At 39.6% G+C, this 22,170-nt stretch overlaps 1 protein-coding gene and 1 long non-coding RNA gene across 9 annotated transcripts in view; one reads left to right on the top strand and one right to left on the bottom strand.

Annotated features, from left to right (window-relative positions):
* Window positions 1–12,213, top strand: part of FHIT (fragile histidine triad diadenosine triphosphatase) — a 1,504,176-nt gene extending 1,491,963 nt beyond the window's left edge. For 4 of the 8 annotated variants that reach the window (NR_135491.2, NM_001320899.2, NM_001320900.2 and 1 more), the window contains one exon: window positions 7,169–12,213. Coding sequence is in view for 7 of the 8 variants with exons in the window: in NM_001320899.2 (NP_001307828.1) it covers window positions 7,169–7,264 (96 nt within the window). In the remaining variant the exon portion in view is untranslated. The remainder of the gene's footprint in view (window positions 1–7,168) is intronic. The other 4 variants (NM_001354589.2, NM_001166243.3, NM_001354590.2 and 1 more) reach the window with 2 other exon arrangements.
* Window positions 1–22,170, bottom strand: part of CFAP20DC-DT (CFAP20DC divergent transcript) — a 724,471-nt gene that overhangs the window by 51,821 nt on the left and 650,480 nt on the right. The gene's annotated exons all lie outside the window — the stretch shown is intronic.

Here is a 22,170-nt window from a genome sequence, read left to right as displayed (position 1 = left end):
AAAGCTGCCAGATGACAAGGTCCATCTATAGTGAGGGGCCAAGTCCTCTCACTTAGTGGCCATGACGCTAACTAGCCTATGGGGCAAATGAGCCCCCTCTCCCAAACTTTCTCTTCTGATTGTTGCCATCACTTTCTCCCTTTAATTCATTATCCTTCCAGGACATTCTTTATGAGCAATTATTCTAGTCCTTTTACTTCCTTGCCTATCTTCTCATCACACCAAAAATAAAATCCAAACTTCTCAGCCCTGCCCACAGGGTGCAAATGATCTGCCATCCCCCCAAGTCCTCTCTCTCACTCTTCCAGCCTGTTACCCAACCACCACACTTCCTTGAAGGTCTGCACTTGCTGTTCTTTCTGCTTGAAATATTCCTTCCTGCCCCTTTACTTAAATACTCATTATTCACACCTCAACTTATATGCTACATCTTCAGTGAAGCCTTCCTTTAAAAGCCTGCCCTACCCAAAGTTCTACCATCCCCCATACCATTTTTTGACGGAGTTCTTATAACATGAAATTATTTTGACTCCCATGCATCCATGAAAAATGTAGCTTTCTAGAACTCAGCCCAGTAGAAACTGCCACCCACAAGCATTAAAGGCCAATGCATCACCCTCACATCTTGAGTCACCCTTTCCCACCTCAGTTGTACTTCCTTCCCCAGGGGCCATTTCTCAAGCTGTTAATGCCATATTTTCACACCATTTCATTTCATATATTTTTAAAATTGATTCTTTTATGTTTAACTTAAATTTACTTTAAAAGGAGACTTGACATGATTTGTCATAAATGAGAGATGTCCCTAAAAATAAATATGATCTAAACAAAACAATCTTATTATATTCTAGCCAGTCTGGATGGCTCTTCTCTTTCTCTTAGAGGTGTTGTTGATGCCTTATCAAGGACGTACTAGTCCGCTGAGACTTTATTCTTGAACAGTCAGAGGGACTGAAAGATCACTGAAAAGGGAATAAGTTTCTCTCAGTAAGATTCAAAGCTGTTTGCAGCTTTGCATTTGTAGGGCCGGAGACCATCTTTTAGACCCCTGTTGTGCGTGCCTATTCCATCTTTAAACAATGGAATGTTAAGGCTTCTCAAAGTGGCAAATTTCAGCTCTCTTGCTAACTCTGATACATGTTTGTTAGTAGCTGCCTAGAAGCCAGGTCAGGATTCATCAGGGAACAGTGCTGTAATTAGTTGGTGAAGCTGACCATGGGTACAAGTTGCCTTGCTGGGGAACTGGTACTCGCATCATGTGTTTAACGAAGCTGTTCCCATTGCCCAGAATTACCCTTTCTTCAAAATCTCATTACCATCTTTTAAGCCCAGTCCAAGTCCTTGATTTTTAAAAGTCAATCTCAGACCTGAATTCCAGCAAGAATTATTTTGTCTCCCCCTGCCCCAGATACTCCAAGAACACTTTGATGGAACTTCTAGTTCGGTAGTTAGGCCAGTATTAAATTATCTATGCATGAATCTGTCTGCCTTATTGCATGGTGAACCTGAGGAGGCAAAGATCTTGGGCTTATTTATCTTTGTATCATCTTTCATAAGACCTAGAACAGAGCCTGGAATATATCATGTGTTCATCAAAACTTGGTTGAATAGAAAGTAATAAGAGAGGATCAGATCTAAAAAAACAATACAGTTATTTTCCTTTTGAGACTTTATATAAACCCCTGTGTAAACAGAACCGTCAACCCATAAGAAATGGTTTATTTAAGCTCTCTGCTTCTGTATGTTGTTTTATAAAAGTGATAATAATGAAATATGTTTTTATAAAAACATCCAAGTTTATATTCAGCCGTTTGCTTCTGTAAGAAGAGCATTAAAGTAGTTTTCCCCCGTTTGAAGACAATTTGGCATTTTACTCCAGGTTCGTTCCAAATTCTGAAAAACATTTAAATTATTGTGAACCATTCCTCCTACTGCATTCCATTACAGAACTCTAAAGATGTCAATAGCAAAGGCGGTTTGAGCAATACAGCAGGGAATTCATCATTACCCCATATACCTTGTGATAACACACTCAGTGCACAGGAGGGAGCACAGTGTCAAAATCGACACGTATCAGTTCTTCAGTCAGAAATCCTGTTAACACTACCTTCCCCAAAAACCATTTCTAGCAGATAAAGTGGGATGACTGAAGATAGATTTTTTGTTTTAAATCTCTTTTCAAAGCTGTGCAGAAATAGAATTTGCTTGGAGAGGCCATCACAGACTTCAGTCTGTTGAATGTGAATAAAGACTTTGGTTCAAGTTTTTGCAAACGTTGTCACTTTGGCGTGCACTTTCCTCTAAAGAACAAAGCTTCTGTGAAAACCGTTTTGACTATTGTTGTTGCATCAGAAGGAAACCAGTATGTAATACATCAGCGTTGGTGTTGAGCATTTTCAGAGCAAGCAGAGTCACATTTAACTTACGTGACTTACCTGCAGAAAGGAGAGATGGAGAAATATAGTGCACTGAATCCCAGACACAGTCAGTTGGAAGTGCTGTTATTTTATGTACTACTAAGAAAGAAAAACACTGCCAATTAAACTATGACACACTTTTGGTTATAGGACATGTTTTGATTTCAAAGATGTTAAAATATGAAAAAATGTGCACCTTAGAACTGGTGAACTAAGGAATTAAAATAGTGCAGGTTGATTTACACTGCATTCCGTGCAATAAGACCATGCAATAATAATAAGCCCTGGAGTGCACAAAATGATGGCCTTGAATTTTATCTTCCTGCACATGATCCCCTCTGTTTTTTCCAGGATTCACAGCCAGGCAACTTTGGGAACAACCTAGTTACCAAATGCAAGCCAAGTTCTTCCTGTGACACCTTTTTAAGGGGTCTGCTATGTTGAGTTGTCAAATAAAATACAAGAATCCCAGTTAACTTTGTATTTCAGGTAAACAACAAATCATTGTTTCATATCAGGATGTCGTCTCAATACTGTATGAGACATCCTTATCCTAAAACAAGTCACTGAGTGTCTTGTATTTTTGTTTGCTAAATCTGGCAACCATACTCCTGGGGTATTGACTACCTTTGACCTCCACCACATTCTTTTACCATAGGACCTTAGCTTTTACCATGAGAAGCCTCGATTAATACCTTACTCACTCCTTAGGACAGCTCTGAGGATTAGGGATTAGTGAGGGTCACTTTAGAGCTGAAGGAGGTACATTTCCTCCCCAGATTTGAGTGTCTCATTATAATAAGTTGTTTTGGATCTGAATTCTGATCATAACTTTTAATCCTTCTACAAAGTAGTTAGTTAGGTCCAAAAGATACAGATCACTGGGGAACCATGGAGATGAAAAATACTTTTACTCCTAGAAACAACCTCTGTGGAATTTTTAGTGCTCGCTGTCATTAGGTCAGTGTTATTTAGCCTAAAAATAATGCTAATGACTGACAGTAGTAGCAGCAGCAGGGAATATTAAATACCACTTAACTATGTGTCAGGCACGGCACTGCTCACCACTCTTTTTCCTACTCCCATTTTACAAAGGGGAAAACTGAGACACAAAGAGATTAAAGGAACTTTTGTTCTTCTCATTGTTCAAGCTCAGACCTAACTAACTCTCGCCTTCTTGGAGAGCCATTTTTGGATGATCCGTAGATAACCTCTTTCCCTCCATCACTGTTTTTCATAACGTTTCTTTGTGAAACCAAGGTGATACTCAAAAGCCTTTGCAATGAGGCTAGCTCTATCCAGCAGCCTTCCCATTTTGTAATCCCATCTCACTAAGAATCAGCCGTTTGGTGTGTAACCTCCCTACCTGGGTGCCCCAGGAGAACAATAAAGGAGTCTGTCTGGTTCAGTGTTCCAGTGCTAGGTCTGGCCCCTGGCATTACAGAGACAGAGCAACTGTCTTGTGTGTTAACAAGTAGTCACCGCCCTCCCCTGTGGGCAGCCAAAGTAATCTAGAAGGCTTATCAGAAGTGAAACTCCTCCATTAAAGTTCACCCACGGCAAATACTGCCTTTTGGATAAACTACTATTTAAGATCATTAGGGCTTTCTCTCCGTTAGCCAGGCAAGAAGTTGCAGCCACCAGGTTCTTGGGTTGCTTTAGGGAAATGGAACTTTACTCCAAACTGTAGCATTTTTAGTCTTCAAGTCACCTGGATGGATCTTCTAGGACACAAGTCTTGCCCACCAGGGCCTTTCCCAGGCTCCCTATTTCTGCAGAGATTAAAAACATTCAAAGGCTGCTGAACTGCATCCGCATGTTAGTGTTGCTAAGACAAGCCTTGTAGGCCAGACATCCCATGGACAGAGCATAAACAGAAGAAAAGCAGTTCTAGGGCAAGGTTTGCAAAGGACAGCAGTAGTACTGTTGATAGGATCACAAGCAATGTGCTTAAAGGCAAGCGGATTCTTTCTATATGTGTGTGGGCTCTATCTACACACTTCTCCCAAAAAGCAGTGATTCTCAACAGTAAGTGCACCTTAGAATTGGCTGAGAAGTTTTGTTTTAAATCCCCAAACCCAGGCTGCCCCAGACCAATTAAATCAGAATCCCTGGGGTGGGTTTTATTTTTTAAAGCTTCCTAGATGATTACAGTGGGCAACCAACCAGGGTTGAGTGCCGCTGTTCTAAACAGAACCACATGCTTCCATCTGGGGCTTTTAGGAGGGAAATCTCATAACTTTTAAAAGCTAGGTACAACAGAGTTTTTGCAAAGATGATTAGTTTTTGTTTTATTTATTTCCTATTATTTCCCAAAAACTTCTTCTAAGGATTGGCACAATGTTGCCATCTGTAAGGCATATGACAATAACAGACGGTTGCCTAATAACCAGGAAGGCATTAACATTCACAGGCTCTAAATTATTTGGATTCCTCTGGTATGATCTGTGTTGTTGAGGCCACTTAATGCTTTATTTCTGTGTCTTCCAATGGCAGTAGCAGAAGTGGGAAGGCCATATTTCCTGGGCTTTGCATATCTCTTTGTCATCCTATTGAATTGTTATAAGATAAGATGGATTTATAACAGACGTCAAGGTAGTATCAAAATGAAAATTAGTTCTTGAGTAGAAGAATAGCAATCCCGTTTGCCTTGCCTGTAGCAACTGCAGCATGTTTGCCTCTGCAAGAAAGGAAATGACTTCTTAATGTGGTTTTCTTTCACTAAGGAGAATTAAATCTACATGGCAAAATGTAAAATCAGCGTGCTGGCAGCCAAATTCTGAAGGGAAGATCCATGACCCTCATAAATGTATCTGTGGCCCGGTTATATGCTAATGAGCCTCATTTAGGCTCAAACTTACTTACCAGGAGTGGAAATACAGCTCAGCGGGAGTGCGAGGCTATGGTTCCCTCACTGTTTTGCCTTCTGTATCAATGTTGAGCTGCAATAAATGGGGAAATTTCTCCATCTGCTGCAAGCTGCCAGGGTAGAGGCCTCTAGGTTAGATTTAGAGTTTGGGGCCTGAGATAGCAAAAGTCATTTATTAGTTGATAGACTTTTTGCTGAGTTGGCAAAATTATTTTTAAAGGATCAACTTTTAAAAAGTCGATATTTTAATCGTTAAGTTGACCTTTTTCAAAATGGAGTGGAACAGTATCTGTGGGATGCTCTTTAGGGACACTGTAGATCCCTCAGGATGAATAAAAAGGCAAAAGTTGTTGGGGATAATACTGGCACCTACCCCACTACCTAGCTGGGTGATCTTTGGACCGGGGTATGAACTTCCTCAGAACTCAGTTTCCTCCACAGTAACATGGGGTTAAGTAGCGTCAGTTTTATGAGTTATTGTAAGGATTAAACGAAATAATGTATATCAAAGAAATAATGTGCGCCTTTCACATCATAAATGCTAGCTATCATTGGTGCTATTAAATTGTCTCAATCCCAAATGACTTTTAACACATAACACAAAATACTACACTGTGCATTCCCATGAAGAATGAACGGATAACCTGCGGCATTTTACAATGTATAGAGCCACACACAGGAACAATAAATTTAGTTAATGAAATTGAATCATAATAGGAGGTTAAGGGAGAAAATTGAGCATTTCTAAGGAAGAGAGTTCTGAGAACATCCTCTCTGATAGAATTGAAATTGTATTCACTCTATATGTAAATCTGAGACATACACACAATTTTTTAAATATGCCTGTAATCTGAGGAGGAATTTAAATGATTCAAGTGTTAATTTTGAGACAAATTGTTAATTTTTTGTAAGTTGTTTTCTCATTTAATCTCTTTTTTACTGTTTCCCTGCTTGAACCCTCTTTTAATGGAAATACTTATTACTTACTCAGTTCTCATGGCCCTTGTGTCATTATCATAAATTTGGTTCACTGAACAAAACTGCTCAGAGCTCATGCAAGAGAGTCTAAACCAAAGAGAGTAGGAGGTAAACCACAGGCCACCTTGAAGGAGGGGATTATGGGTTGGTGGCAAACTCAATGCCTTCAAAATCCAGGAAGTAAAATAAATGAATGATGCCTGTTAAACATAAGAAAATTAGAAGAGTGTGGGGGAGATTCTGGGAATGGCAAATGCTCCCCATTCCCCCACTTCATCCCAATCTGTGATCACCTGTATTAGTCCATTCTTACAGTGCTATAAGGAACTACCCGGGGCTGGGTAATTTATAAGGAACAGCAGTTTAATTGGCTCCTGGTTTCTCAGGCTGTACAGAAAGCATGGTTGGGGAGGCCTCAGGAACCTTTCAATCATGGCGGAAGGGAAAGCAGGCACGTCTTCTGTGGCTGGAGCAGGAGGAAGAGAGAGTGGAGGGAGGTGCTACACACTTTTAAACAATAAGGTCCCCCAATAACTCACTATCATGAGAACAGCACCAATGGGGAATTCTGCCTTGATGGTCCAGTCACTTGCCACCAGGCCCCACCTCTGACACTGGGGATTCTAATTTGACATGAGATATGGGCAAGGACACAGACCTATATCATATCATCACCCCCCTCAGCCTCAGTAGATGATTACAAGATGGCAAATGATCTGATTATTTTAAATGTGGATTCTTGTATAAAGCCTATTTGCAAGTTGTAGCAACTGAAACAATTAAAAGATACACCTACTGGCCTCTAATTTGCAAATTTTGTTCAGTCTCCCCCAGCCCCCCGAAATTTGTTCAAGGAGATCCCAAGGGCCCATGAAAGAGCCTCTTCCTTTTTTTTTCTCCAAAGCTCCAGAAACATGACAAGGAGGACTTTCCTGCCTCTTGGAGATCAGAGGAGGAAATGGCAGCAGAAGCCGCAGCTCTGCGGGTCTACTTTCAGTGACACAGGTAAAGACTGCATTTCGTCATTACCCAGACCCTCCCGTGGGCCTCAGGAAAGAGGCTGCACTCTCAGAATGGGGATGCACAAAAACACCTTCACCAGCATCCTTGGGTGGTGGCTGCAAAGGACAAAGAGCTGGAGGGGAGAAAACCCTGGCCCTTGAGTACTGTATTCCCAGCCTCCCAGTCTCTTCCAACTCTCCTGCCTCTTCACTCTCTTCTTCCAAGCCAGTGCCCCCAGCCCACCACCACCTTTCTCCAGTCTTTCCTGCGGTGGTGCTCCTCCAGAATCCAATGTTCACAAAGCAGACCTTCTGTCATGCACAACTTCTTGTTTAAAAGGTCAACCCCAACTTAACTTAAAGGTGTGACATGGCCCTTAGGCTCAAGTCTGTCTGCAAAGCCCTGTAAACCAGCTTTCTCTGCCTCCCTAACACGCCCCCGGGCAAACTCCTCTGCTTTCACTGAGTGGACTCTTCTCTTCAGTTGCTATTTGGTAAATTGCCCTTCATGTTTCCCTTTATGTTCGGCTCCTAGGAAGCTCAGGCCACAGGGAAAAGTCAAGGCTTGATAGAATTAATCTTTGTCTTAATGATGACTAACTGTTGAGAGATCATAGGTTTAAGACTCTGGTAGAAAGATAGCTATAGCCAATTTCCTTGTCAAAATGCTTCTACTCCAAATTTTTATGCAGTGTCTAACGAGCTCATGCCTAGATCTATCTGGCAATCTATATTATCCCTCCTAGTCTCAGTTCACATAGTAGACTGCTGGAATGACTGAGGGTGATGTTTGGCCTGTAAACAAAAAGTGTTAAAGAAGGCCAGGTACAGTGGCTCATGCCTATAATCCCAACTACTTGGGAAGCTGAGGCAGGAGAACTGCTTGAACCTGGGAGGCAGAGGTTGCAGTGAGCTGAGATCATGCCACTGCATTCCAGCCTGGGTGACAGAGCAAGACTCAGTTTCAAAAAAACAGGAGAGAGAGAGAGAGAAATGTATCTATCTCTCTGAAATTTGTTTATAAATATAGGGTTACCATGCAATACTGGCATATATCTAGACTAAAAAAATTACTTGTTTATCTGAAATTCAAATTTAACTGGTATCTTGTATTTTTTTCTGGCAAACCTGTTAATAAACTCCCATGGACCCCAGTTACAGATCCTCTCCTATAAATAGTTTCTTTTTTGTTTTTAGAATTAGATAATTCCAAATTAAAATTAGGCAATTCTTCATCTGACCTGTGAATAAATATGTTCATGTTATAAGTTGCAGAAGTAGATCAGACACAAATAAAAAACAAAATTAGTGAATAAATGCTGTTAGCAATTGATTGGAAAAAATTGTATCAACCACTTAGTGATCATGATTTTTAGCTAGAAAACACATTCATTGTATTCTGATTTCACCTTGAAATGTAAGTAAGTCTTTACTGGATAGCTTTAAATATATGTGCACTTGGCCTTTCTCTCCCCAGCCCTCTTTTTAGAGTATTCTAAATAGTTAAAGACCCAGACTACCTTGCCCCCTATTGTTGTTCAAATATGGTGTTGTACTCAGATCCTTGCATTCTAGAAAGCTTATTTCATTCTCCCATGTCATAAGTTTGTCAGCTCTGCACTCAGTTGCCTGGGGGGATATGGCAAGTGCTATAACAGAGGCTGTCTTTCATATTTTATTTTGAACCTTTTCCACTGTTCACCATCTCTCTCTCGTTTTTTAAGGATCAAGCTAGTTTAGTTTACCTAAGAACATAGGCCTATGGGCATGACTACAAACCTCTTTCTGTTCCTCTTATGAAGGCCAGTATGTCATTTTAGAGTGCCCTGTTCAAATTTAAATGGGGTGACAATACCTCAGACTTGACTGCCTAGGTTGAATTTTTTCTCCTGGGTTTTCTATGCAGTGGGTATTTTCAGGTAGAGGCTAGAAAGCTTTAGCCTTTTTCCCAAGGCTTGCTGAATTGTAGGAGTTTTGTCTTAGAATGCTTTTTCTAGACACTTTAAGAACTTTAAGAAGATTCAAACTTATTACCCAAATTTCCTGTAGGCTTTGTTTTGTCAGTTTTTGCTTCTGTCTTGCCTGGAGGCCTGACACCTCCTGTCTTCCAGGTAAATTGACTTCCCTTGTACATCTTACCAGAAAGATATTTACCCTAACTTGTTACACAAACTATTGCCACAGTACCTGTGGATTTTTAAGTTAACTAACATGTGTATTTCTCTTTAAAGGTTTTGTGCACAGACCAAACAAATCACCCTCAGTCTTCCCAGCAGTCAGATGTGGTAACTAAGACTAGGACGGATAATATAGGTTGTGAGGTGGCAAACAACTTAGGGTCCTAAGATTTTGCCAAGACTGTCATCATTACCTGGAGTATAATGGGACTAACTATACCTCCCTTTAAGGACAATGGAAACATTCTATTGAAACCATCCTCACAGGGTTAACAAGAATTAGATGCTGGGTTCTGGACAGAAATATAGTTGTAATTAAGCATTAATCAGGCTGCACTTTGGCCCACTTCTTCGTAACCAAAAGTCCCAGAGCACCAGATGCTAACCATTTGCCTCCTCATTGTTCCTACAGAGAAGATTTCTGATGTTAGAATCATAAGGCCTTTGTTTGTTTAAAAATGGCTTAAGATGTTTTTCAGATCCTGAATTCCAGCAAAAGAGCTATTGCCAACCAGTTTGAAGACCGCCCCCCGCCTCTCCCCAAGAGGAACTGAATCAGCATGAAAATGCAGTTTCTTCATCTCACCATCCTGTATTCTTCAACCAGTGATCCCCCACCTCGGTCACTCCAACTCCCTTAAAATACCTAGACCTAAACGGCTCAGACAGGCAGATTTGAGGTTTCCCCCTGTCTCCTTATTCGGCAGCCTTATGATTAAACTTCCTTCTCTGCTGCAACCCTGTGTCTCGGTGTATTGACTTGCCATGAATTAGGCAACAAACCTATTACAGTTACAGTTACTTTTTTAAAGGAAATTCAATCGTTGGATTGGTCCACCTGCTTATTTCTTCCCTTTTCAAAAAAAATGTCTACATATTGAATTTTTATACATTAAGTGGTTCATGAAACCCCTGAAATGTGTTAGTAAATAGGGCAATTATGAAATATTTGGACATAGCTAGACTTTAAAAATTGTTAATCTGAAGGTCAGATAGACTTGGCCTTCTCCAGCTTTCGTGATTATTCCCTCAGCAGCAAGCTAGTCTTAGGCAGAGCAAGTTTAAAGACATTCATGGTGCTCACTCTGCAAAACTGCACAATTCTCAACATGCACAGAGGCAGACATGATAGGGCTCAGCCCTGGAATTGATAACACTAGCCAACACACTTGCTAAGAATTTATAAGATGTAGACCCTGTTATTATCCTGTCTTGCAAGTGATGAGAAAACTAAGGCTTAAGGATGTTAAGTATTATTAGTTCAAGGCCAACGGTAAGTGGCAAAGCTCAGATTTGAATCCAGGCAGTCCCACCCTAAAGGCCATTCTCTTAGTCTGTGTACTGCCCTCCTTGCTAAAAGAGCTCACCTCTCTAGCCACTTCCTTCTCCCTGTCCCATCTCCCCTTGTACCCTCCAAATAGTCTTCTTAGCCTCTTCACCTTATCTACTGGCCTATTTCTGCCTTGAGGACCTCCCACCTCCTCGCCTGCTGGACTTCTTCCTTACCTGCCTTGTTAATACAACCCTGCCCAGCACCTGCCTCCCTGGTCACACTACAGCCAGGTAGCAGAAACCAAAATGGGCCTGGATTTCCCCAACCAACTTGGTTCTACTTGCAAGATTCTCAGATCATGCTGAATCCTGCCTAGGCTACCCTCCCACTTTCTTTTCTTTACCATCTGACCACATGCCTAAATAAACATCACTTGGGCGAATACAGTGTTCCCCAAATTGCATTCATTCCCATTTTGTCATGATTTTTCTTATCTTTGTGGACCACCTAGAGCATTATTTACTTGATTCACTTTTTGAATTTTAGTATATATATCTTAAACTTTATATTTCAGCCTCAAAGAAAAACAAGTACTACCTGTAATTAGAAGTTAAGCATAAAAATAAACATAAGAGAAAAACAATGCTGATGATTTCCAGCTCTGCATAGTTGCTTGCCTTAGCAACTAGGAGTGAGATTCAGTCTCTGTGTTAAAAAGTGAGGCTAGCCACCATTAGAGGGGCATTTAATTCTAGCACCAAACCGAAACTCTCCATTTGGCATATTCAGAAGGATTAAAGAGAATAACCTACTGAGAGATTCAATGTAGATCACTTAAGATTATCTTAAACAGGAATATGACTGACTCCCAACTTTGGAGAAACAGCAGTGGAGGCCAGATCTTAAACCCAGAGCAAGCTGGCTTTAGACTTGCTTCAACCCTAAACCAGTACTCCTTTCCACCCACCCACCTCCCCCCAACCCCTGCAGGCATATCAAGAAGACAAGGTGCATGGGGGAAAACCAAAGAGTCAGCTTCCCTAGGGCTGATGGGTCAAATCTCAGTGCTTGCCTCTGACATTTTGCTTGCCGACAGTCTGTCTTGAAAACCAACAGGTTGCAAAGAAGAATGTGAACACCTATATCCAGAGATGCCCTATATAAGAATAAAGACTATAAGACCAAAAAGATGTTCTTGACTTAATGTTTGGGGTGGACATACCTAGTTATACGATTTGGCTGTTTCCCCACCCACATCTCATCTTGAATTGTAGCTCCCATAATCCCCACATGTCATGGGAGGGACCCAGTGGGAGGTAACTGAATCAAGGGGGAGGGTCTTTCCCATGCTGTTCTCATGATTGATAGTGATGGTTTTATAAAGGACATTTCCCCTGAATACGCTGTCTTGCCTGCTGCCATGTAAGATGTGGCTTTGCTCCTCTTTTGCCTTCCTCCATGATTGCGAGTCCATTAAACCTCATTCCTTTATAAATTACCCAGTCTTGAGTGTGTGGTTATTAGCAGCATGAGAACAAACTAATACACCTAGCAACTCCTTGGTAAGTATTATTTCTATATCTTCCTTACATATAAAGAATTAATCCTCAGCATAGCAAGAGTACCATTAGGACAACAAAGGTAAACATTCTGAAACTATGTACTGACTCCTCAGCCTCTTGAAGCCATCAAGACACCAACATCAGATTAATTGTGTAAAAGAACTCTCTTTATCTTCCCATATAACCCTCCAGGGTTATATGCACCTGCATTTTGGTGTTTTAGCTTCTCTCTGTATCCTTTGCCTACCAGAAAATGACTTTGAATTGCAGTTTCTTGAGCAGTAGTGAGAAAGGGTTATTGCCTTCACCATGCACAAGGAGCTCAACAGCCCAAGGGTTGCTGAATGAAGCTGCAGTTGTCTCACTCACCATGTGACAGATCCTTGATGAGGCTGGCAATCCTTTCGTTCCAGGAATTCAGCGTCTGCTCTCTGCATAGGTGAATTTATGCATTTGCTCCCTACACACTGGACTGAGTTCCGGGACAAGGGATTTGCAATGGCTCTTTTAGTCTATGTTCTAAATCACATTAGATGACAGGAGACCTGCATTTCTTATCTAATGTTGCCTTCTTCCTGGAGGATGGTAATTCTTTATGCAGGTATTGATACTTGGATTTGCTGCCACTATACACCCAAGCAGTTTTTCTACTTAATTTTAAAGCAATGGCATGTGTCCTAGTGACTAGGGGGGAAGATTTTGCCATCTCCCCATCCTCCCCTCTCCCATTCCACATTAGAATTGAGGGGGATATGTTGTTAAAATATGCAAGCATCACCCCTAATTCTGATGGAAAGTCAGAGCAGGGCAGGTTTCCACACCCTGTTGTGTCAGCAGAGCTCACTTGTAATTCATCAAGCTCTTCTCTGTGCACGTCGTTATTTTATAGATAATTGGTTGCCTCTCATTTACTCATAATGGGACCATGCAATTTCAAAGCAACTGAGTCAGCCCAATACAGCATTATTAGTAGTTATAGATGTACTGTCAAGGCAAAATTTCAACACTGGCGTTTTTGAAAAATCACCATAATTTCTGCCACTGGATCACCCTTATATCATAATTGTGGATAGTCAAGGTGATTGAGAAAGGACAGGTTTGCCTATTTAGCACATGTTCTGGTCTGTAAATTGTACCTTTTGAAATCTACCCCAAATCTCAACCACCTCAGAGATGTTCCACTGTCAGCACAGAAGCCTCTAATGAGAAAGGCCCAGGAAGCTGATCATAGTACTCTCATATTTTCTTGGGGGAAAGGTGGATTTTAAATTCAGCTTCATCACCAATTTAATCTTAAACCCACTAGATAAACCCCATGTGAGGAGCTCAGTACCAATGTAAATGTTTCAGCCATCCCCAAGTTTCAGAACAATTATGAAACTCTTTCAGCCGTTCCCAGATTGTTATGAAAATAGATTTTCTTTAGGCTACAGGTACAAGAGAAGATACTTCTTTTAAGGCTAAAGATATCTTAGTGTGTTCAAAAAGCTCTTTGCCTGACAAAGGACCCATTGTTTTAAAAGAAGCCAGAAGGGAGATTTCAGTTGTTTTTTTTTCCCCTTCTTCTCCAGTCCAATTTCTGTTGGATCTGGCTGCCTCTCCTCTCATTCTATTTAGATGATTACATTTCTAGAATCTGGTTTTAGTGACAGGAAATTAAATACTCTATTACCTGGATTAGATAAATATAAACCAACTCCCTGTGCCTAAATTGGGAATAATAAACCACAGAGTCATGGAAACTTTATAAACCATCAAATCAAATGTCTCAAATGATTTATGTTCCAGCAACTCAAAAGAGGGACCATCCAACAACACTTTAAAAACCTCCTTTTAGAAACATTCTATGAGACAGTCTACCCCATGGATCCAAAATGGATTTTTGGCTTAGTTTAGTTATTTTTAAAATGTTTTAACAAGACCCTACTTTCTCCAACATGTACCCAGTTGTTCAAAAGATTTCCTACAGGCCATTGATGGCTCAAGAATCTGCAGAACTCTTCCTTTGAGATTTACTTCTACTGGTAATTGAAAAATGACTAGTGTCCTGAAGTAATTTTAACGCATGTGAATCTTGAAACCACATGATTCATTACCACAGAGTCCTTTTCAGAAAAGTATAATCTAAATAGCCAAAGATAATTTTTTAAGAGTTTCAGGCTTTACTTACTTACATCTTGCAAAATGGTAATACCATCAAATTGTAATACAATAAAATAAAGCTTGTCATTGTCACCCTCATCATTTTTATCCTCATCTCCAGCAATGGATAACTGCATATTAATCTGCATACTCTTATATAGCAAAAACTTTCTAAATCTTTCTTCTCCTAAGACATTTCTTTTCTTTTTGTACTTGCTTCTCTCCACTCTCCATAGTGTGCTCCTTTCAGTGTTGCCTTTTTGTCTGTCTCTGCCTGAAAGGAGGGTGAGAATGAAGACTCTTCTAGACAGTGTGGAAGGTTAATATGAAGAAAGGCTATGAAAATTCACATTTATAACCTTTGACCCCACTGCTTCATAATAGCTAATATTTATGCAATTCATTTGGTCCTGTGCCTAAAATGTCCCTCAGCCACTTCTTACATAATAAATGCTCCATTATTTTGACACGCTGGGGCATCAATCAAGTATTATGTACATACTTAACCGGGATCATCAATACAGGGTACACTAGCAAAGTCAGCTCTAGATTGTGCTCCTTCTGGCTTTAATACTTCTCTGATTATCTAAGAAGCAGTTCAGTGTACTCTACCACCTCAAATTCATCATGAGTGGTGGGCAATTGAGACTGTGAGTGTCTTATGTATTAAACTAAAGTCCTCCCAACAATGAGGAAAAGAGAGGATAGAGCTAAGTAGGGAACATCTTGTTAATTAAAATGTCACCACTTGTCCCAGTGGTGTAAGTGGGGTAAAATTACACCCCAGACTAAATGTATGTGTGTGCCACTTCTTCTTCCTCCAGAAACCTGTTTTTCCTTCTTTTCGCCTACACAGATAATTGAGGCAGAACATGATTTTTGGAGAGGTCAGGAACCATACAAAGACAGGGGAAGAGAGTGCTAAGGAAGCCATCCTGGGAATAAACTTTTCCTGTCTTATACCCAACTCCTTCAGGGGACGAATGTCTGCCACCTCCTCTTTTATCTCCCCAGCCCTCACTGCACTGGATTTTACAACCCTATCATGGGGTTACCCCCTGTACTAGAGCTTCATGTAAATGATACCGAATCAAAAGAAAAAGTCAAGTGGCAGGTAATGTGTCCTCCAGAGCAAATGTTTGTCTTGTGTTTTACACAGAACTTTTTAAAATGTGCTTTAAAAACAAAAGACTGATAAAATGAACATTACAGTTTGGTGAAAATTATGTCCCAGCGCCTCTCTCTCTCCCAACAAGAAACCTGTTTTCCAATCCCCTGTCCTAAGCACCAGGCATATACACCACCGACTGAAAGTATAAAAAGACACTCTGCAGTCTCCTAAGAATGGCATCTGAATTGTCTTGTCAGTTTGGTTTCTACTCTCAGTGCAAATATCTTTAAATAATTTAAAGTGGAACCCCACCAACGTTTGCCACTACACTTACTCTCTGAACCTGGACGTGTCGCTCTTTTGTGCTCAATTTCCTAATCTCTGAATTATAATGATAGAGAAAGCATTTTACTTATATCCCAGGGTTATTATAAGGAAAACACAAAATAATGGAATGGGAAACCAGTATGTCAATAGTATAAATACATTATTTTTTTCTGATTTCTAGTATATTTTGAAGATGATAAATTATAGGGATATTCAGGTAATGAGAAATTAGTTCAAGCAGTAACTAAAGAATTAAATCTGTAGGGCAGGAGGTTTTCAGACCACTAAAAAAAAAAAAAAAAAAAAAAAAAAAAAGTGTGTCTTCTGCTTTTGTTACTAAAGGCCAAATAATTTGACTCAATCCTCCCACTGTGTTCAACTAGAAAGACTACACAGAACTTTCTAAAAATCTGTTAGAAGTAGGAAGGTAGCAAAAGATTATAGGACCAAGAGCCAAGGAAGACAGAAATCCATAGAAGTGAGCCCCATGTTTGAGGTTGCTTTTCCATTAAGGGCATTTGTGAGCCTCAGAGAGGCAAGTGGAGATAAAGCAATAGTCAGTTTTCCAATGGTAGATTCCTTGCTAAACCTCCACCTCTGGGTGGGAATTCAAAGATCTGGGAGAGTTATACCCTTGGAATAAGAGTGAGCCCTTACACCAACTACAGCCCAACTTCAAATCATCTGGGCAGGTGAGAAACTCATGACTGGAAATTGAATTAAGGTGATCTCAAATTGCTAGTCCATTAAACTCCTGGCAGAAGCCAGAAAATCCTCTCTGGAAGAAAGTAATACCAACCAAGACCTGAAATTATTTCTCACATTTGTTTCCAAACAGAATGCTCAGTATATGTGTGAATGTTTGTCCCCCCCAATGCCACAGTGCCCTCCCCACACACACAAACACAGAAGGCCTGTGATGAGACAAGTTGTTGTGGACTGAATGTTGTGTCCTTCCACAATTCATTTAAGCCCTAACCCCCATGTGATGGTATTAGGAGGTAGGCTTTCAGGAGGTAAGTAGATTTAGATAAGGTCGCAAGGGTGGGGCCCTCAGGGTGGAGTAGGTGCAATGATAAGAAAAGACATCAGATTTCTATCTTTATGCATATTCAAAGAAGGGGTCACGTGAGCACACAGCAAGATGGTGGCCCATCCACAAGCCAAGAGGAGAGGCCTCAGAATGAACCGACCTTGCTGGCACCTTGATGTTGGAGTTCCCAGCTTCCAGGACTATGAGAAATAAGTTTCTATTGTTTAAGCTACCCAGTCTATGATATTTTGTCATAGCAGCTCAAGCTGCTTAAGACGGAAATTGATACAAACAAGATCAGAACCACAGGTTACCTGGAAATTGGAATTATCAGACATAGATGTTAAATTAACTATGTTTATTTATGGAGAGAAAAGACAAGATTGTTTTTTAAGTTTAGCAGAGAGCTAGAATTTATTACAAAGAAAAGACACAGATCATGAGAAAAATAACCAAATAAAAATTCTAGAACTCGAATGAATTTAGCAACACATTATTCACAGCCAGAAAGAGAATTAGTGAATTCAAAGATGAGCCATATGAAAATACCAGACTGAAACATGAAGAGGTAGAGTAGAGGAAAAAGTAGAAAAGAGGACAGAAGACAAAATACAGGGAGAAAGTTGAAAGATATTTATTCATATTTCCATGGGGAGAGAAAACAGAGTTTCAGTGGAATCTAGATTTAAAGAGACGATGGCTGACAATTTTTCAGAACCAGGAAAAGCTACCAATCCAAAAATCCGAAACACAGCAAAATCAAAGCATCAGTGAAGATTCCATGCTTAGACACATTACAATAAAATTGCAGAAAAGCAAAAACAAAGAGAAACTCAGACTTAAGAAGGAAAAAAATCACTGGCTTTTCAAAGAAGTCATAATTAGACCAAAAACAACAACTACAAAAAAATGAAAATCAGAAGACCACAGGATATGTCTGAGAGCCAAAAGAACTACTGAGTTAGATTTCCATACCCAGTTAATATGAATGAATGAATGACTTCATGAATGAAGGTAAGATACATGCATTTTCTGATGAAAGCTGAGAATCTGTCACCAATAGACTTACACTAAAAGAATTCTAAGGGCCAGGTGTGATGGCTGACACCTGTAATCCCAGCACTTTGGGAGGCTGAGGCAGGTGGATTGCCTGAGCTCAGGAGTTCAAGACCAGCCTGGGCAACATGGCAAAATCCTGTCTCTATTAAAAATACAAAAATTATCCAGCCATGGTGGTATGCACCTGTAGTCCCAGCGACTTGTGGGGCTGAAGCGGGAGGATGGCTTGAGCCTGGGAGGTCGAGGCTACAGTGAGCCAAGATTGTACCACTGCACTAAAGAAGAAATCAAGTGGAAGTTGGAAACTATTTTGAACTGACTGAAGAAAACTCATACTTGGGGATGCAACTAAAGGTGTGTTTAGAGGGTAATTTAGTTTTAATTATGACTTGAATGCCCTTATTCAAGAAAAGTCAACAGTTACTGTGCTACCCCATTCTCTATGATGTGCTTATTTCACATTGCGTGCCTGCATCAAAACATCTCATGCATCCCATAAATATATTCACCTACTATGAACCCACAAAAATTAAGAATTAAAATTAAAAAAATAAAAAAAGTAAGTTAATGTGCTAAACATCTTTCTGGAGAAGTTAAAAAGAGAACCACAAAATTAAGAGGGAGGAAATAACAATAAATCATAATGTAATAAAATAGAAAACACAAATGCAATTGAAAGGATCAATGAAGCCAAATGTAGGGTCTTTGAAAAGAGTGAAGAAACAAAAACCCATGTTAAAAAGAAAAAGGCAAACTTCTGTATAGATACTATAGTCATTAAAAAGGAATGTTAGAGCAATACATTTGAAAATTTGAATTAAATAGACAAGCTTCTCAAAAATACAACTAGCACAAACTGACACAAGGTGAAAAAGAAAATATGAATAAAATTGGATTCTAATTAAAGAAAACTGAGTCTGAAATAAAATCCTTCCCACAAAGAAATTTTCAGGCCCAGATAGCTTTACTGGTGAATTCTACCACGTACTTGAGAAACAAATAAGAATCTCATTCAAATTCTGCCAAAGAGAAGGGGGGGGAAAAGAAACTCTTTAATTGTCCAGTTTGTTGTATGATTTATGTTACAAATGAACATTGCAAGAACATTACAGAATGGAAATCTATAGACTAATTGCACTTGGAAACACAAATGTCAAAATTCTAAGAGATATCAGACAGATGACAGACAGATTGTACATGCACGCACATATACGATTTGGGAAAAGGATAAGACATCATGACTAATACAACTTTGTTTTCACATTAGACTTTCAAATGATGTCTTTCCCTGGGTTAATAAAGGAGAAAATGATAGGATCGTCTTAGTAGATGCAAATAAAATTATTGATCAAATTACACATCTAACTTAAATTCAAAAGGTCTAGGAAAGCTACAAGTGGAAGGGACTTTATACTCAGGAATGAAATGAACACTATGCATCTGAGATTGTAAATGAGATAAGATATTCACTATTAACGCTTCTATTTCACAATGTCCTTGAAGTCCTAGCTAGTGTAGAAAGGTGAGAACAATAAACAAAAGGTGTAGAAGGATTAGAAATAAAGGAATAAAACTGTCATTATTTGTAGACAATATGATATATGCAGAAAACCCAAAAGAATCTATAGAGAAACAAGTAGAATTAATCAGTAAACTTAGCAAGGCCTCTGAATCTAAGGGGTGTGTGTGTGTGTGTGTGTGTGTGTGTGTGTGTGTGTGTGTATATATGTTTTAAATTTCTCTGTATCAGCTACAATGGTTAGAAAATGAAAAGTTTTAAAGTTTGCTTTTAACATCAAAAATCAGATACCTAGGAATAATTACAGGTATGTAAGCTTATAGACAAAAAATGTAAAATATTAAGTCATTAAAGAGAAATTAAATAAATGGAGAAGTAAATGACTCAATTTTATTAATATAAAGATTGAATTTTCCTCAAGTTGACTATAAACCCACAGCAACTCAGTTCCAAATTCCCATAGGTTTTGGTAAAAATCGACAAGTTGATTCTAAAATGCGTATGGAAATGTAGCCAGAGACTTAGAAAAAACAAGATTAGAAGGATTGGAGGGGCTCACTCTACAGGATATCAAGACTTATTACAAGGCTATAAGAGTTAAGAGAGCATGGTATTGGTACAAAGATAAATAGACTGATAGAACAAAACAGAGGACATAGAAGCAAATCCAGGCATATATGAACACTTGATTTATGATAAAAATGACACTACAGAGCCATGAGAAAAGGAAGATTTTTTTCAATAGATAGTTCTTGGAAAATTGGATACCCATGTAGAAAACTAATGAAAAGAAACCCTACCTCACACCACATGCAAAAGAGAGTTCCAGGTAGATTGTAGTTCAAAGCATGAAGTGTAAAATTTTAAAGGCTTTGAAGATATTATAAGAGGATATCTTCATAATCTTGCTATAGGGAAAGACTTTTGCAACAGGACACAAAAGGCACTACTGAAAAAAAAGATTGATATATTGGACTACATTCAAATTAAGAACTTCTGTTTGTCAAAATACACCATTGAGAGAGAGAGGAGACAAGCTGCGGTGGAGGGGAAAGTACTTGCCACATATATAATCAACAAAGGACTAGTGTCCAGAAGACAATATAAAATGAAAAAGGAAGCAAAGAAAAACACATTATATTTAATAAGAAGTCAGCAGCCCGATAGAAAATACACAATGACTTGAACAGGCACTTCACAAAAAAATGGATATTGAAATGGCCAATAATCTTTAGTCATCAGGGAAATAAATATAAGCTTAAAACACAGTAAAGTACCACTACACACCCACGAGAATAGTCACAATGTAAAAGGACTGACAATATCAAGTGTTTGCAAGAATATGGAACAATAGAAACACCCAAAAGAACACATACTGTGTGATTTCATTTACATAAAGTTCAAAAACAGGCAAAATTCAATTACAGTGCTTAGAGATACATTCATTTAGAAGGTAAAATTATAAGGAAAGCAAGGAAGCACTCACCATGAAAGTCAGGCCCGTGGTTACCTTTGCGGGGGAAGAAAGAAGGGAACCGTGATTTGGAAAGGGAACGTGGAGTGAGTGGGGTGGGAAAGTGGAAGGGTTGGCGATGTTCTGTTCCTCGCCATGGGTGTTGGCAAGACATGTGTTGGCTTTATATTAATTCTGTAAGCCATGTACATATTTCCTGCATGTTTCTGTATGTGTGTTATATTTCACCATCAAAAGGACTAGCACATCAGATAAATGAAAATTTTTCAGTTAGGCAAAAAAAAAAAAAAAAAAAGGAAGAAAAGAAAGAGATTGACATGTTGTTGCTGGCTGAATATTCAAGTATTTCATAACAGGCTTAAACAAAAAAAGAGTAATTGCTGTGTATAATCTTTACAGACACACTACCAGTACATCAGGGAGGTGGCACTCCTCTTCCTGACCATCCTCCCTGACTTGAAGAGGCCACTCTGGCCAAACAAATCGTTATTTCAGGAAGTGAGCAATGGAGATCACCACAGAGAAGAGGCTATATTATTAATAATTCTTAATAAAACCACTTTTGACGAGCTTACCATGGGCAAGTTATACCAAGCACTTTACAGACTTTACTCAATTAAACCCCACAACAACCCTCCAGTATTGCCCTGGTTTTCAGATGTGAAAATTGAGGCTTACAGCAGCTGTGTGACTTGCCTGCCCCAAGGTCTCTCAGGTTATACTTTGTGAGTCAGGGTTCAAGTCCAGGCAGTCTGCCTCTGGAGCCCACACTTACCTTTTCACTAAAAATGGTGGCTCTCTGTTTAGAAACATCATCCCTCACATAAGCTCTAGCTAACCAAAGGCAAGAATTGTCCATTGCAGCTGGGGTGCAAGGTATACCTTACTCTAGCTTCTGCACTAACTTCAGGAAAAGAGCCAGCATTTGATGATTCTTGTGCTTTGGATCACTTTATCCAGCTGTCACAACCACCTGCTAGAAGTGGTTATGAGAGCTGGGTAGTGCCTAGTCCTTATTCCTAACCCTTTAGGAAACAGAGCTATCCCTTGTTTCCTTATGCAGCAACAGTTACAGACTGAGTATGTGTCTGAAAGCTGAAACTGCATTCCATGAGCAGGAGTGAATCACGGCTAATCAACCTTGGACTGTAACGCATTAGATACTGCACTCTTGGGATCAGTGAGGACTCTCAAGGGCTTCATGCAAGACCTTTCAGTGAGCACATGC

The sequence above is a fragment of the Homo sapiens genome, chromosome 3, assembly GCF_000001405.40.
Source record: "Homo sapiens chromosome 3, GRCh38.p14 Primary Assembly".
Taxonomy (NCBI): Eukaryota; Metazoa; Chordata; class Mammalia; order Primates; family Hominidae; genus Homo; species Homo sapiens.
Note: the sequence above shows the minus strand (reverse complement) of the source record. Positions and strands in the feature narration are given on the sequence as shown.